This window comes from Homo sapiens, chromosome 1, assembly GCF_000001405.40.
Source record: "Homo sapiens chromosome 1, GRCh38.p14 Primary Assembly".
In the NCBI taxonomy this organism is placed as follows: domain Eukaryota; kingdom Metazoa; phylum Chordata; class Mammalia; order Primates; family Hominidae; genus Homo; species Homo sapiens.
Genome location: NC_000001.11, coordinates 155,686,252 through 155,700,592, shown reverse-complemented (window position 1 = coordinate 155,700,592; position 14,341 = coordinate 155,686,252). Strand labels below are relative to the sequence as shown.

General features: G+C 45.7%; 2 protein-coding genes, 1 long non-coding RNA gene and 1 pseudogene across 30 annotated transcripts in view, besides 3 other annotated features; 2 read left to right on the top strand and 2 right to left on the bottom strand.

Moving 5' to 3' along the window:
• The window catches only part of DAP3 (death associated protein 3), a 51,063-nt gene extending 38,418 nt beyond the window's left edge, over positions 1-12,645 (bottom strand). For 7 of the 18 annotated variants that reach the window (XM_047430087.1, XM_047430093.1, XM_024449697.2 and 4 more), the window contains exons 1-2: positions 12,401-12,645; positions 11,419-11,498 (exon numbers count right to left, since the gene is read on the bottom strand). The gene's annotated coding sequence lies outside the window, so the exon portion shown is untranslated. Of the gene's footprint in view, positions 1-11,349; positions 11,503-12,400 lie in introns of those variants that run through there. The other 11 variants (XM_047430081.1, XM_047430085.1, XM_047430090.1 and 8 more) reach the window with 3 other exon arrangements.
• Positions 176-8,623, top strand: LOC124904431 (uncharacterized). The gene is made up of 2 exons (XR_007066649.1): positions 176-244; positions 1,580-8,623. It is a non-coding gene; the product is annotated as an uncharacterized LOC124904431 (long non-coding RNA).
• Positions 11,354-11,403: an enhancer, noted in NCBI's record as "active region_1818". NCBI's record gives its function as "activates an Ori minimal core promoter by ATAC-STARR-seq in GM12878 lymphoblastoid cells {active_cell/tissue: GM12878}" and the evidence as "EXISTENCE:reporter gene assay evidence [ECO:0000049][PMID:35858748]".
• Positions 11,505-12,382, bottom strand: LOC124904430 (translation initiation factor IF-2-like; annotated as a pseudogene).
• Positions 11,597-14,341, top strand: part of YY1AP1 (YY1 associated protein 1) — a 29,555-nt gene continuing 26,810 nt past the window's right edge. For 4 of the 11 annotated variants that reach the window (NM_001198900.2, NM_001198905.2, NM_139119.3 and 1 more), the window contains exons 1-2: positions 11,819-11,934; positions 12,392-12,522. Coding sequence is in view for 4 of the 11 variants with exons in the window: in NM_001198904.1 (NP_001185833.1) it covers positions 12,129-12,522 (394 nt within the window). In the remaining 7 variants the exon portion in view is untranslated. The other 7 variants (NM_139118.3, NM_001198906.2, NM_001198901.2 and 4 more) reach the window with 4 other exon arrangements.
• Positions 11,779-12,413: an enhancer, noted in NCBI's record as "H3K27ac hESC enhancer chr1:155657971-155658605 (GRCh37/hg19 assembly coordinates)". NCBI's record gives its function as "activates a minimal SCP1, AML or CMV promoter by ChIP-STARR-seq in primed H9 embryonic stem cells {active_cell/tissue: H9 hESC(primed)}" and the evidence as "EXISTENCE:reporter gene assay evidence [ECO:0000049][PMID:30033119]".
• Positions 11,894-11,943: a silencer, noted in NCBI's record as "silent region_1409". NCBI's record gives its function as "represses an Ori minimal core promoter by ATAC-STARR-seq in GM12878 lymphoblastoid cells {active_cell/tissue: GM12878}" and the evidence as "EXISTENCE:reporter gene assay evidence [ECO:0000049][PMID:35858748]".

The window sequence follows — 14,341 nt, the reverse complement described above, 5'->3', positions numbered from 1 at the left end:
TGGCCGGGCGGGGGGCTGACCCCCCACCTCCCTCCCGGATGGGGCGGCTGGCCGGGCGGGGGGCTGACCGCCCCCCCCACCTCCCTCAAGTTTTCTAATTTTCTACAGAGAAAGTAAATCTTCATTATCATGTGTTATGCAATGGTTTCTTAACTATAACATCAAAAGCACAAGCAAAAAAACTAAAAATGGAGAATTGAATTTTATCCAAATCAGACACTTGTACTTCAAGGGATACCATCAAGTAAGTGAAAGACAGCCCACAGAATGGGAGAAAATATTTGCAAATCACATAGAACTTAACTTATATCCATAATATATAAAGAACTCTTACAACTTAACAATAAAGTCAACTCAAGGCTGGGTGCAGTGGCTCATGCCTGTAATCCCAGCACTTTGGGAGGCCAAGGCGGGCAGATCATGAAGTCAAGAGATTGAGACCATCCTGGCCAACATGGTGAAACCCTGTCTCTACCAAAAATACCAAAATTAACTGGGCGTGGTGGTGCACGCCTATAGTCCCAGCTAGAGGGGAGGCTGAGGCAGGAGAATCACTTGAACCCAGGAGGTGGAGGCTGCAGTGAGCCAAGATCATGCCACTGCACTCCAGCCTGGCGACAGAGCGAGACTCCATCTCAAAAAAAAGAAAGGCAACTCAATTTAAAAATAGGCAAAAGGGTCAGGTGCAGTGGCTCACACCTGTAATTCTCACACTTCGGGAGGCTGAGACGGGAGGACTGCTTAATTCCAGGAGTTTGAGACCAGCCTGGGCAACATAATGAGACCTTGTCCTCTACCAAAAATTTAAAAAATTAGCCAGGTGTGGTGGTGTGAGCCTGTGGTCCTAGCTACTTGGGAGGCTAAAGTGGGAGGATCACCTGGGCCTGGGAGCTTGAGGCTGCAGTGAGCTATGATCACACCACTGCACTCCAGCCCAGGTAACAGAGTAAGACCCTGCCTCAAATTAAAAAAATGAAAAGGAAAAATATTTGAGTAGGCATTTCTCCAGAGTAGTTATACAAATGGCCCATAAGCACCTGAAAAGATGTTTAACATTACTAGTCATTAAGCGTTGGGAAAAAGGCTCATGGGGTGCCTGCATAAACTGGCCATAAAAATATGGGACAATAAGTTGTGGAAAGCCACAAGAGGACTCTGAGGAGGAAAGTCTTCTGATCACCATTATGTTCCCATGCTCTGAGCACAACCTGCTCTCTTATCTATAAACACTGTGCTCAAGAAGAAAGACGCTCCTCTGAAGCATTGGAATGTGGCTAGATATGCAGGCTCCTAGTTAAGCCCACTCCCACCAGCTAACTAAAGATATGCTGCTTGAGCACAAAGGAGATTCACTTAAACCGCCTCTGCTACACATTACGTGTATGACGTACTGCCTCCCTTTCACAGTTTTGCCCTGAACATCTGCTTCTTAGATCTAAGTGATTATACTCAATAAATAGTGTAGAGACCAGAACTCTGGGCCTTTTGCAGCCTCCATTTTGCAACTGGCCCCCTGGCTCCCACCTTTATGAACTCTTAACCTGTCTCTTCTCATTCCTTTGTCGCCACCGGACTTCAGGTACCCTACGGATGGTGTTGAGGCTGGTCCCCTACATTCTGGTGCCCAACATGAGGCCCGAAAGAATCCAGTGAAGGCATGCTCAAGCGTGTGAAATGGAGGACCGACAGACAAAGGACTCCCAAAGACGAAAAAGTTTTAAGCTCCGCAGGTGAGCGGGGCACTTGGAGAAAGCTAGGGACACAAATGGGACAAACTGAAAGTAAGTACGCCATGTATTTGAGCTTGCTATGGCAGCTCTTGAAGCGTAGTGGTGTAAAAGTTGATACAAAAAATCTTATGGATTTGTTTTATGCTGTGGAACAATTTTGCCCTTGGTTCCCGGAACAGAGAACTTTGGAATTGAAAGATTGGGAAAGAATTGGAAAGGACCTTAAAAGAGCACAAAGAAAGGGAAAGGAAATTCCTTTGCCTGTTTGGTCAGTTTGGTCATTGGTGTGTACAGCACTGGAGGCTTTTCAGATAGATGATGAGGCTGAGTCAGAGGAGAGAGAGGAGTTTAATGATCAGGACTCTGAACCACCCCTACCAAGTACTAATAAAAAGGGAGAGTCCAGAGTGTTGCAGGAAGTCAGGGACCCCAAACAGAGGGACCGGCTGAAGCCATGGCAGAAGAACATAAATTGTGAAGATTTCATGGACATTTGTTAGTTCCCTAAATTAATACTTTTATAATTTCTTACACCTGTCTTTACTGTAATCTCTGAACATAAATTGTGAAGATTTCATGGACATTTATCACCTCCCCAATCAATACTCTTATAATTTCCTATGCCTGTCTTTACTTTAATCTCTTAATCCCGTCATCTTCGTAAGCTGGGGATGTATATCGCCTGAGGACCCTGTGATGATTGCATTACCTGTACAAATTGTTTGTAAAGCATTTGTGTTTGAATAATGTGAAATCTGGGCACCTTGAAAAGAACAGGATAACAACGATTTTCGGGGAACAAGGGAGATAACCATAAAGTCTGACTGCCTGTGGGGCCAGGCAGAACAGAGTCATATTTCTCTTCTTTCAGAAAGCGAATAGGAGAAATATCGCTGAATTCTTTTCTCAGCAAGGAATAACCCTGGGAAAACGAATGCATTCCCAGGGAGACATCTGTAAAATCGCTGCTCTGGGAGTGTCTGTCTTATGCAGTTGGAGATAAGGGATGAAATATGCCCTGGTCTCCTGCAGCACCCTCAGGCTTGCTAGGATTAGGAAATTCCAGCCTGGCGAATTCTAGTCAGATCGGTTGTCTGCTCTCGAACCCTGTTTCCTGTTAAGATGTTTATCAATATCAACGTCCAATGTGCCCAGCGGGACATGGACCTTCATCAGTAATTCTAGTTTCGCCCTGGCCTTGTGATCTCGCTCTGCCTCTCTGCCTTTGTGATATTTTACTGCCTCTGAAGCATGTGACCTCTGTGACCCACTCCCTATTCGTACACCCCTCCCCTTTTGAAATCCATAATAAAAACTTGCTGGTTTTGCGGCTCAGGGGCATCATGGAACCTGCTGAAATGTGATGTCACCCCCGGAGACCCAGCTGTAGAATTTCTCTTTTGCACTCTTTCTCTTTATTTCTCAGACTGGCACACTTACGGAAAATAGAACCTATGTTGAAATATTGGGGGCTGGTTCCCCCGATACCGGAGGTGATTTCTACCAATCCCCCCGGTCTCCCTAAACCTACACAGAAAATTGTTCAGCCCGCAGCTTCTTCAGAGAAATGTCCGGAATGGCCACCTCCTCCTCAGCTGAGTGAGTGCAGGGGGAGGGAGCCTGAAACTCAGCTTGCCGCACCCATTACTGCCCAACCTGCAGTTCACTATGGTGAAGAAGCAATTCAGGCTCACCCTGCAGCATCCTGTCTGGGTCGAACAGTGGCCGCTCCCTCAGAAAAACTTGGGGGCGTTCCATGAAATAGTTAAAAAACTACTAGAAAAAGGATATATTTCACCCACTTTCTCTCCTTGGAATTCCCCAGTATATGTAATTTTAAAAAAAGTATGGTAGATGGTGCATGCTGACCGACTTGCAAGAGGTCAACGCTGTAATGCAACCAATGGGAGCTTTACAACCAGGGCTCCCATCCCCCACCATGCTCCCTAAAGACTGGCTGCTTGTTATTATAGATTTAAAAGACTGCTTCTTTACAATTCCTTTGGCAGAGACAGATTTTGAAAAATTTGCCTTTACTATCCCTGCCATTAATAACAAAGAACCTGCAGCCAGATATCATTGGAAGGTTTTACCCCAAGGTATGTTAAACAGTTCCACAGTTTGTCAAACTTTTGTAGGCAAAGCTATCCAGCTAGTTAGAGATCAATTTCCAGATTGTTACATCATTCATTATATGGATGACATACTATGTGCAACAAAAAATAGAGACCAACTTATTCAATGTTATTCATCTTTGCAAAAGGCAATTACAAATGCTGGATTGCTTATAACACCTGACAAAATTCAAACAACTCTTCCTTTTCAATATTTGGGGATACAAGTACAAGATAGAGCCATTAAGCCTCAAAAGGTTCAAATCAGAAAAGATTCTTTAAAAACCTTAAATGATTTTCAAAAATTGTTAGGAGACATTAATTGGATTCAGCCCACCTTAGGAATTTCTACTTATGCTATGTCTAATATTTTCTAAATATTGAGGGGAGATTGCAACTTACACCATAAAAGAGAATTAACACCCAAGGCCATGAATGAGTTAAGAGTAATTGAAAAAAAAAAATTCAGCAAGCCCAGGTTAGTAGGATTGACTCAGTCTTGCCTTTTCAATTCATTGTGTTCCCTACTTCACACTCCTCAATGAGGGTTATTGTTCAAAATAATGATTTGGTTGAATGGTCTTTTTTGCCATATAATACCATGAAAACACTTACAGTCTATGTAGATCAGATCACAATTTTAATTGGACAGGCTCATATGCAAATTGTTAAACTTTATGGCACTGAGCCCAATAAGATTATAGTTCCAATAAATAAAAGTCACATTAAGCAGGCATTTATTAACTCAGTTACATGGCAAGTTAATTTAGCAGAATTTATTGAATGTATTGATAATCATCATCCTAAAAATAAAATTTTCCAGTTCTTAAAATTAACTACATAGGTTCTTCCGAAAATTACTCGTGATGCCCCTTTGGAAGGAGCCATGATTGTTTTTACTGATGGCTCCAGTACTGGGAAAGCGGCATATGTGGGACCTTGTGGTAAAGTTATCCACACTAACTCTTCCTCAGTCCAAAGAGCTAAATTACAGGCAATGATTGCAGTATTAGAAGATTTTAATCAGCCAGTTAATACTGTTTCAGATTCAGCTTATGTTGTATAAGCTACTCAGCATATTGAAACTGCCTTAATTAAATATATTATTGATAAACAGCTTTATCAATTGTTCAACTCTTTACAAACAGCTGTGTGTGCTCGGGATTTTCCTTTCTATATAACTCATATCCGAGCACATACCAATCTTCCAGGACCCTTGACTGAGGCTAATGAGCAAGCTGACTTGTTGGTTTCCCCCATACTTACTGATGCCCAGACTTTCCACTCATTAACACACCTTAATGTAACAGGACTTACAAACAACTATCAAATTATGTGGAAACAGGCCAAGGACATTGTACAACATCGTCCTCAGTGCCAGGTACTGCAACTACCGTATCAAGGAACTGGTGTTAACCCTCGAGGGTTGGCACCTAACATGATCTGGCAAATGGACGTCACCCACATTCCTGCATTTGGCAAACTTTCTTATGTCCATGTGACCATAGATACATATTCTCATTTATATGGTCTACTTGCCAAACCAGCCAGACTACAACACATATAAAAAGACACTTGCTTTCCTGTTTTACTGTCATGGGAATTCCACAAAAATTAAAAACAGACAACAGACCAGGCTACTGTAGTAGATCTTTCCAAACATTTTTAAAACAACAGAGCATTGAACACAGTACGGTTATCCCCTATAATTCTCAAAGGCAAGCGATTGTTGAGCGAGCCAACTGAACCTTAAAAATGCAATTACATAAAAAGAAAATAGGGGGAGATAGGGAATATTCCACCCCTCATATGCAGTTACAATTGGCTCTTGTTACCTTAAATTTTTTGAACATCTTCCGCAATCAGGTTACTATAGCAGCTGAAGAGCATTTAACAGGACAGAAGGTAAATGTTCATGAAGGAAAACCTGTGTGGTGGAAGGACTTTAAAACAAAGACCTGGGAAAAAGAGAGATATAACATGGGGAAGAGGGTTTGTTTGTATTTCCCCAGAAGAAAACCAGCTTCCAGTTTGGGTACCTACAAGACATCTTAAATTCTACCATGAGCAAATTTCCAAAGAAGAGAAAAGGATTTTGGAACCAAGATCTCCACTCCCAGCACGCCTGATGGCTCGAATGAACATTTCAGCCAACCAGATGAAGACCAACAAAACCCATCAAGCGAGCCCACCAACTTGGGGACAGATCAAGAGGCTGACCCACCTTGCAGAAGAAAACCTGAAAACACAACAAAAACCACTAACCTCGAGTAACCTGATGGTAGCTATGATTGCGGTAATTACCATGGTGGTAAGTCTCCCTGTGGCTACAGCAGACCAAAATTATACCTATTGGGCATACGTCCCATTTCCACCTTTAATTAGGCCTGTCACATGGTTGGAACCCCCGGTTGAGGCTTATGTTAATAATAGTGTTTGGATGCCTGAGCCTACAGATACTCAAGGGCCCTCTCACCCAGAGGAGGAAGGAATGTTAATAAATATGTCCATGGGTTATCAGTTCCCCTCCTCTTTGCATAGGGCCAGCTGTCGGTTGCCTAAAAGGCTACGGACAACATTGGCTAGTTAAAATTTCAGGTCATAATCAAAGACCAGTATCCTATCATTTATTTTCTGGATGGAGCCCGGATCATCCACAGAGTTCAGTTCAACTGTAACAGTTTAAGCCCAGAAAAGAGAGGTGTCAACAACCTCAACAACAGTCAAATGATTTAGAAATATTGATTTGAAAGGATTGTATCTCTTTTTTTTTCTTTCTTTTTTTTTGAGAGGGAGTTTTGCTCTTGTTGCACAGGCTGGAGTGCAATGGCGCAATCTCAGCTCACTGCAACCTCCGCCCCCCAAGTTCAAGGGATTCTCCTGCCTCAGCCTCCCAAGTAGCTGCGATTACAGGCATGTGCCACCACACCCTGCTAATTTTGTATTTTTAGTAGAGAGGGGGTTTCTCCATGTTGGCCAGACTGGTCTCGAACTCCCGACCTCAGGTGATCTGCCGGCCTCGGCCTCCCAAAGTGCTGGGATTACAGGCGTGAGCCACCACTCCCGGCCAGGATTGCATCTCTGATCACGCTGTGGTACTTCAAAATAATTCCTATGGAATTGTCACTGATTGGTCCCCTAAGGGGACCTTTGCAGTTAATTGTACCAATCAGAATGATAGATACAAGACAGGACTAAAACAGGAACTATACTGTCAAAGAGATGACACTATTTACACTGAAAAACATGCCCAGTTTCCCATAATTTCAACCAATTTTGGTATAGCCGGCCCACATCCAAAAATGATTAATCCAATAATAGGCCCTGAACATCCCAAATTATGGAAGGTAATGATGGCCCAATCTCATATTCAGGTTTGAGAAGAAAAATATTACCTTGAGGGAAAAGGTGAGAGACTTCAATTTGTGTATCAGTTTTCTTCCAACCGAATGGCGCCCATTCAGAGCTGTGTCAAGCCTCCTTTTATGTTGATGGTCGGAAATATTGATATTCGACCTAATTCTCAAACTATTACTTGTCAAAACTGTCACCTTTTCACCTGTATTGATTCCACGTTTGATGTGAAAACATCTGTGTTGCTGGTGAGGGCTAGAGGAGTTTAGATACCGGTTTCCCTCAATAGACCTTGGAAAGCCTCTTCTTCCATTCATATCCTCACAGAAATGTTAAAGGGAGTGTTTACCAGAACAAAAAGATTTATTTTTACCCTTATAGCAGTCATTATGGGCCTTATTGCAGTCACAGCTACTGTTGTGGCTGCTGGAATTGCTTTACACTCCTCTGTTCAAACTGCAGAATATGTAAATAATTGGCAAAAGAATTCCTCAAAATTGTGGAATTATCAGACCCGGATAGACCAACAATTGGCAAATCAAATAAATGATCTTAGACAGACTGTTATTTGGATGAGAGATCGTATAATAAGCTTAGAGCATCGATTGCAAATGCAATGTGATTGGAATACTTCTGATTTCTGCATAACTCCCCATTCATACAATGCTACTGAACATCACTGGGAAAAAGTTAGACATCATCTGGAAGAAAGGGATGGAAATTTTACACTGAATATAGCCAAATTAAAGGAACAGGTTTTTAAAGCATCTCAGGCTCATTTAACTCTCCTGCCTGGGACTGACATTCTCACTGGAGCTGCTGATGGACTTTCAAACATAAATCCTCTTAAGTGGATTAAGACCGTTAGAGAATCAACTATCGCAAATTTTGCTTTAATGTGTACCTGTTTATGCTGTTTGCTTTTAGTCTGCAGATGCGGAAGATGCCTCTGGAGAGAGACCAGACACCAGGAACAAGTCTTAATAGCAATGGCAGTTTTAAAAAAGAAAAAAGGGGGGCATGTTGGGAAAAAGGCTTACAGGGTGCCTGCATAAACTGGCCATAAAAACATGGGACAGTAAGTTGTGGAAAGCCACAAGAGGACTCTGAGGAGGAAAGCCTTCTTATCGCCATTATGTTCCCATGCTCTGAGCACAACCTGCTCTCTTATCTATAAACACTGTGCTCAAGAAGAAAGACGCTCCTCTGAAGCACTGGAATGTGGCTAGATATGCAGGCTCCTAGTTAAGCCCACTCCCACCAGCTAACTAAAGATACGTTGTTTAAGCACAAAGGAGATTCACTTAAACCGCCACTGCTACAGATTATGTGTATGACGTACTGCTTCCCTTTGACTGTTTCGCCCTGAACATCTGCTTCTTAGATCTAAGTGACTGTACTCAATAAACAGTGTGGAGATCAGAACTCTGGGCCTTTTGCAGCCTCCATTTTGCAACTGGCCCCCTGGCTCCCACCTTTATGAACACTTAACCTGTCTCTTCTCATTCCTTTGTCGCCACCGGACTTCGGATACCCTACGGGTGGTGCTGAGACTGGTCCCCCAAAATTAAGAAAATGCAAATAAAAACCACAATGAGATACACTTCACACCCACTAGAATGATGAAATTCAAAAGAACTGATAATAACATGTGTTGGATAGAATCTGGAAAAACTAGGATTCTTATATGTTGCTGTTAGGATTTTTTAAGCGGTGAGGCCACTTTGGAAAAGTTTGGCAGTTCCTCAAAAGGTAAAACATGGAGTTACCATATGAACCTGCAATTCCACTCTCAGGTATAAAAGAGAAATAAAAACAAGTGTATGCAAAAGTTGTACACAAATGTTCGTAGCAGTATTATGCATAAGAGCCAAAAAGTGGAAATACCTCACATGTCCATCAATTGATGAATAAACATAACGTGGTATAGCCATATAATGGAATATTATTTGGCAATACGAAACAAAGTTCTGATGCATTACACAACTGGATGAACCTTCAAAACAAAGTAAAAGAAGACAGTTGCATATAGTATGATTTCAATTACATGAAATGTCCATAATTTGCTTATTAATTACATAAACTGATTTAGTGGTTGCGAGAGGCAATGGGAGGGAGGAATGGAAAGCAACTTACTGATAAGATTCTTTTGGGGGTGATAAAAAATGTTCTAAAGTTCGATAGTGGAGGCTGGGCATGGTGGCTCACGCCTGTAATCCCAGCACTTTGGGAGGCTGAGGCAGGTGGATCATGAGGTCAGGAGATCGAGACCAGCCTGGCTAACACGGTGAAACCCCGTCTCTACTAAAAATACAAAAAATTAGCTGGACGTGGTGGCGGGTGCCTGTAGTCCCAGCTACTCAGGAGGCTGAGGTAGGAGAATGGCGCGAACCCGGGAGGCGGAGCTTGCAGTGAGCCGAGATCGCGCCACTGCACTCCAGCCTGGGTGACAGAGCGAGACTCCGTCTCAAAAAAAAAATAAAATAAATTAGCTGGATGTGGTGGCATGTGCCTGTAGTCCTAGTTGCTCAGATGGCTGAGGTGGGAGGATCCCTTGAGCCAAGGAGCTTGAGGTTGCAGTGAGCCAGGACTGCACTACTGCCTTCCAGCCTTGGCGACATAGATCCTATCTCAAAGCAAACAAACAAAAAAAAGTGTAAATTTACAGAAGAGTTGCAAAGGTAGTACAAAGTGCTTTCTTACAATTTTCATTAGAGTTTCCTTAATGTTACATACATATGACCATGGTACAATTTTCAAAATTAAGAAATTAAAGCTGGTACAATACTATTTAAAAATTGCAGACTTTATTTGCATTTCCTCAGCTTTTCTGCTAATGTCTTCTTTCTTTTTTTGAGACAGGGTCTCGCTCTGTCACCTAGGCTGCAGTGTGATGGCGTGATCTCGGCTAACTTTGCAACCTCTTCCTCAATCCTCCTGCTTCAGCCTCCCAAGTAGCTCAGACTACAAGCGTGTGCCACACCTGTCTAATTTTTGTGTCTTTTTGTAGAGATGGGGTTTCACCGTGTTGCCTAAGCTGGTCTCGAACTCCTAGGCTCAAGCAATGCGCCCTCCTCCGCCTCCCAAAGTGCTGAGATTACAGGTGTGAGCCACTGCGCCCAGCCTAATGTCTTCTTTCTGTTACAGGATCCAGTAGAAGATTCCACATCTGGAGATCTTTTCCTTTCTTTATATCTATCACCGACATTACCTACTCTTTAAAAATTTTGTAAAAGGCATAAATTTGAAAAATATATCCTCATTAATCTAAATCAAGTCATTGATACAACTATTTAACAAGACGCCCGGCCTGCTTTGTTTTATTAACGACTTGGAGGGACAGAACACTACCCATTACACCCACAAACGTTATCGACATCAACAGAACTGTAAATGACAACACGGCAATACTCTGCACCTTCCCTATGCCTAGGAGCTAATTCCACTTTACATATATTATTATTTCGTGTGTGTGTGTGTGTGTGTGACGGAGTCTCGCTTTGTCGCCAGGCTGGAGTGCAGTGGCGCGATCTCGGCTCACTGCAACTTCCGCCGCCCGGGTTCAAGCAATTCTCCTGCCTCAGCCTCCCGAGTAGCTGGGGCTACAGGCGCCCGCCACCACGGCCGGCTAATATTTGTATTTTTAGTAGAGACGGGGTTTCACCATGTTGGCCAGGATTGTCTCGATCTCTTCACCTTGTCATCCACCTGCCTCGGCCTCCCAAAGTGCTGGGATTACAGGCGTGAGCCACCGCGCCCAGCCCTATCTTATTATTTCACACACCAACCCTGGAGGCATGTTTGGAGTTGCCTAATTTTTATGTACACTTTTTGATAAGGAACTAACAAAAATAACTTGCTGAAGACAAGGGAAACTGAGTCCAGAACTGAATGAGAAGCACATGGTTTCTTCATCCTCCATCACCAGGCTGTCTAACGAGGCTGAAGTACCATCCATGAGTAAGTGCGTCAAGGGCAAACAAACATCATCGCATATGGACAGTGGTGTGAAATTCGAGAAATCCGAGGAGGGTTAACAACAACAAAAAGCACACCACCACGCCGAACTTCCTCGGGTCCCAGGTTGGCAACTCAACGCCCGGGAGGAATCCCCCCCGGAGGCGCGCCGGTCTACCGGCCTCACTCCCTACCTCCTGGAGGTCCGGAGTCCCGCTCCTTTCCCTCAGCGGTACAATACCCGTGTCGGTCCATTCCCTCACCGTGAGTCGAGGACTAGTTCTCCAGACTAGGCGACCGACACACGCTGCCTGGGGCCGGCTCCAAAGCGCCCGTCCTGAGACTGCAAAAAAGGGTCGGGTCATCCGGCAGGAAACGACTCAACGCGCAGCCGCCGCGGCCTCCAACCACCGGCCGGCAGAGGGGCGCTAGGCCGCCCTCGATCCCCTCGCCGCGGTCCCATGGAGGAGGAGGCGAGCCGCAGCGCCGCGGCGACGAACCCAGGGAGGTAGGTTGTCATGGGACTCGGCCGGCCACCCTGGCAATTCCAGTCAAACGGCAAGCCAGACTCGCTTTGCCGGTCCCTTCCTCTCCTGCCCCTGCAGCCGCCAGGAATGGAACAGTCCCGCGGTGGGGACTGTGGGAGGCGCACGCGCGAGGAGTGTAGGGTGGGGGTGCTGGCGGCGGCTGCTTTGGCGGCGGTTGGTGGCCGTGCGGGCGGGGAGGGAGGGGGAGGAGAGAAGAGGAGGTGGAGAAGGCTTGGGCTCGCGCCGCTGAAGGTACGCGTGAGGGCCTGCGCTGGAGCCGGCTTGACAGGGTCTGAGGGGGAGTGGAGAACTGGGCGAGGAGGTTCCCGTGGGTGAGCGCGTACGGGATGGCTGGCTCGCAGGACGGCCGAAGGTGGTGGTTGGTGGGAGCAGCCAGCGACGAGCCCGTAGACACTCGTACGCGTGCGGGCTGACGTGCGCGCTACATGGCCGGAGTCGGGCGAAGCGGGGGACCGTGGGGAAGAACGCGAGGAGGGAGGAGTGGGAGGTTGGGGGTGTCGCTAGGCGCCCTTAGCTCCCTCCCTCTGGAGGAGCTGCCGCGGCCACTCTGCTGCCGCCGCTGCCGCCGCCATTTTGGGTTCGCTTTGCGAGGGGAAACGATCCCAGTGTCGGTTGCGGGATCCGCCTCCTCTCAGTTTGCCCCTTTAGCCCTCCACCTTTCCCTTCTCCTCTCTCGCATTTCCGCCAGTCGGCTTACCCGCTGGCCGCCTCCTGACAAGCGGGAGGGATCCGCGGTGGACCCAGGGAAGCGGAGGAGCCTGGCGGCCACCCCCTCTTCCTCACTTCCCTGTACTCTCATCGCTCTCGGCCTCCGACACGGTGAGTAGAACGATTTGGGCCGGCATTCGGGCCTAAGCACTCTCTCAGCGATTGAATCCTGGGCTTTCTGGGAGCCACTGTCATCTCCCGGACCTGGACCTCTGGGAGAGCAGTGGTGAAGATGGGGGAGGGGAGAGCAGGGAGGGGGATCCTGAGCCTACCGGGAAGTCCCTCCAGGCGGGGTGAAGGGGTGTCCCTGACAGGCAGACTCCCGGAGGGGGCTGGGAAGTAAGCGAGTGGAGGCGGAGTCGGCTGTGCCCCTGACAGGTTAGTTTGTGTTTGTAGGCATGATCGGAGCCTCCCCCATAGTCCAGTTTGTGTGTGTTTAATTAAGGGATAAGAGTGGTCGAGGACACGATCTTGAGAGGGGATTTTACCTGTGTGACAAGGTCTGTGGTGTCCCTGCCGCGTTGAACGGTATGTGGGAACGACAGGATGATCTCAGTGTTGTACGTTTAATAAATGTCACTGGTTAGTTTGTACATGGAAAGAGATGTTTTTGGTCTAGCAGACAGATGGTCTGTTGGTGTGTAGCGGCTGTGTTGGTGTGTGTATGTGAGGATGGCAAGTGTTTCCGTAAGAGTTTGCCTTTATTTGTGTAAGTGTAATGGAGTTCCCCTTATAAGTTAGCTTATTTCTTGAATAAATGTTGGGAGGTTCCTTGCAGGTTGATATGTGTGTGTATTTTAGGGATTGGGAGCCCCTAGTTACTTGTTGGGAAAGAGCGGCAATGGTAGTGTTCTGTACAGCATGTGTCTGTGAGGTCAGGGAGGGGAGAAACTTGGCATAGCCAGTTGTGGTCTTAAGAATAGTTTGTGCCTTTGGTTAGAGTGAGTTGTGTAAATGTGAAGGGCCAAAATATCTTTAACAGAATCATTGCTACAAAGCTGTAAAGAATGGGTGGCCTTATTTGTTGTCGCGGGTTTATAGTAATAGTTTACAATACAATAAGAAAGCTCTTTCAGTTTCTTTGTGATACTGAATCTCTGTGAAAATGGTAGGATGCTTTCTTCCATTTTACAAAATAGGAAATTTAGGCATAAGGAGAGAACTTCTCCAAGGCCGCATGTTAAATTGGTGACAAAGTTGGAACTGTAACTCCCATATTTTCACTACTACTGCAGCAGTATATTCAGCATACCATGGTGCCTCAGGAAGTCTTTGTCGGCAAATCTGAGTATGCTGGAAAGATAGGAGCACATAAGACTGGTTGGCTTGTATTTGGGGGAGACCGATTGTGTCAGATATGTATGTGGAACGTAGCTGTCCTTGCCGAGTCTGACCTGTATGAAATGCATATCCATGGCTATATTATTTTGGATTTATGGAGGAAGCAGAGCATTTCTGACACTTAAGGTTGTATGCGTGAGGGAGAAGGCTTTCACAGCTTAACTTGTACCAGAGCAGCTGCATGGGTGCTGACAGCTTAACTTGAAATCTGTGGGAGGAAGGATCCTTTTTCACTCATTCAACAAATATAACCATTCAATGAATGGTCCATGCCTTGAGGTGAGGATCATCAAGGTGTCTCTGTAAATAGCCTGGATGCAATCTGAGGGGAGTTGTTTTGACGGTGGTAGGTATTAAGTTGAGGGAGGCAGTGTGGAATTAAAACCAGAGAACTGTTTTTGGGTACTGGTAATTGTTAATATATGTGCCTGTGGATGTTGGAACTTCTTGGCTGGGCTGAAGGAATCCTTTGAAAGACTGATTTCGGCAGGGCGCGGTGGCTCACACCTGTAATCCCAGCACTTTGGGAGGCCGAGGTGGGCGGATCACGAGGTCAGGAGATCGAATCACGAGGTCAGGAGATCGAGAC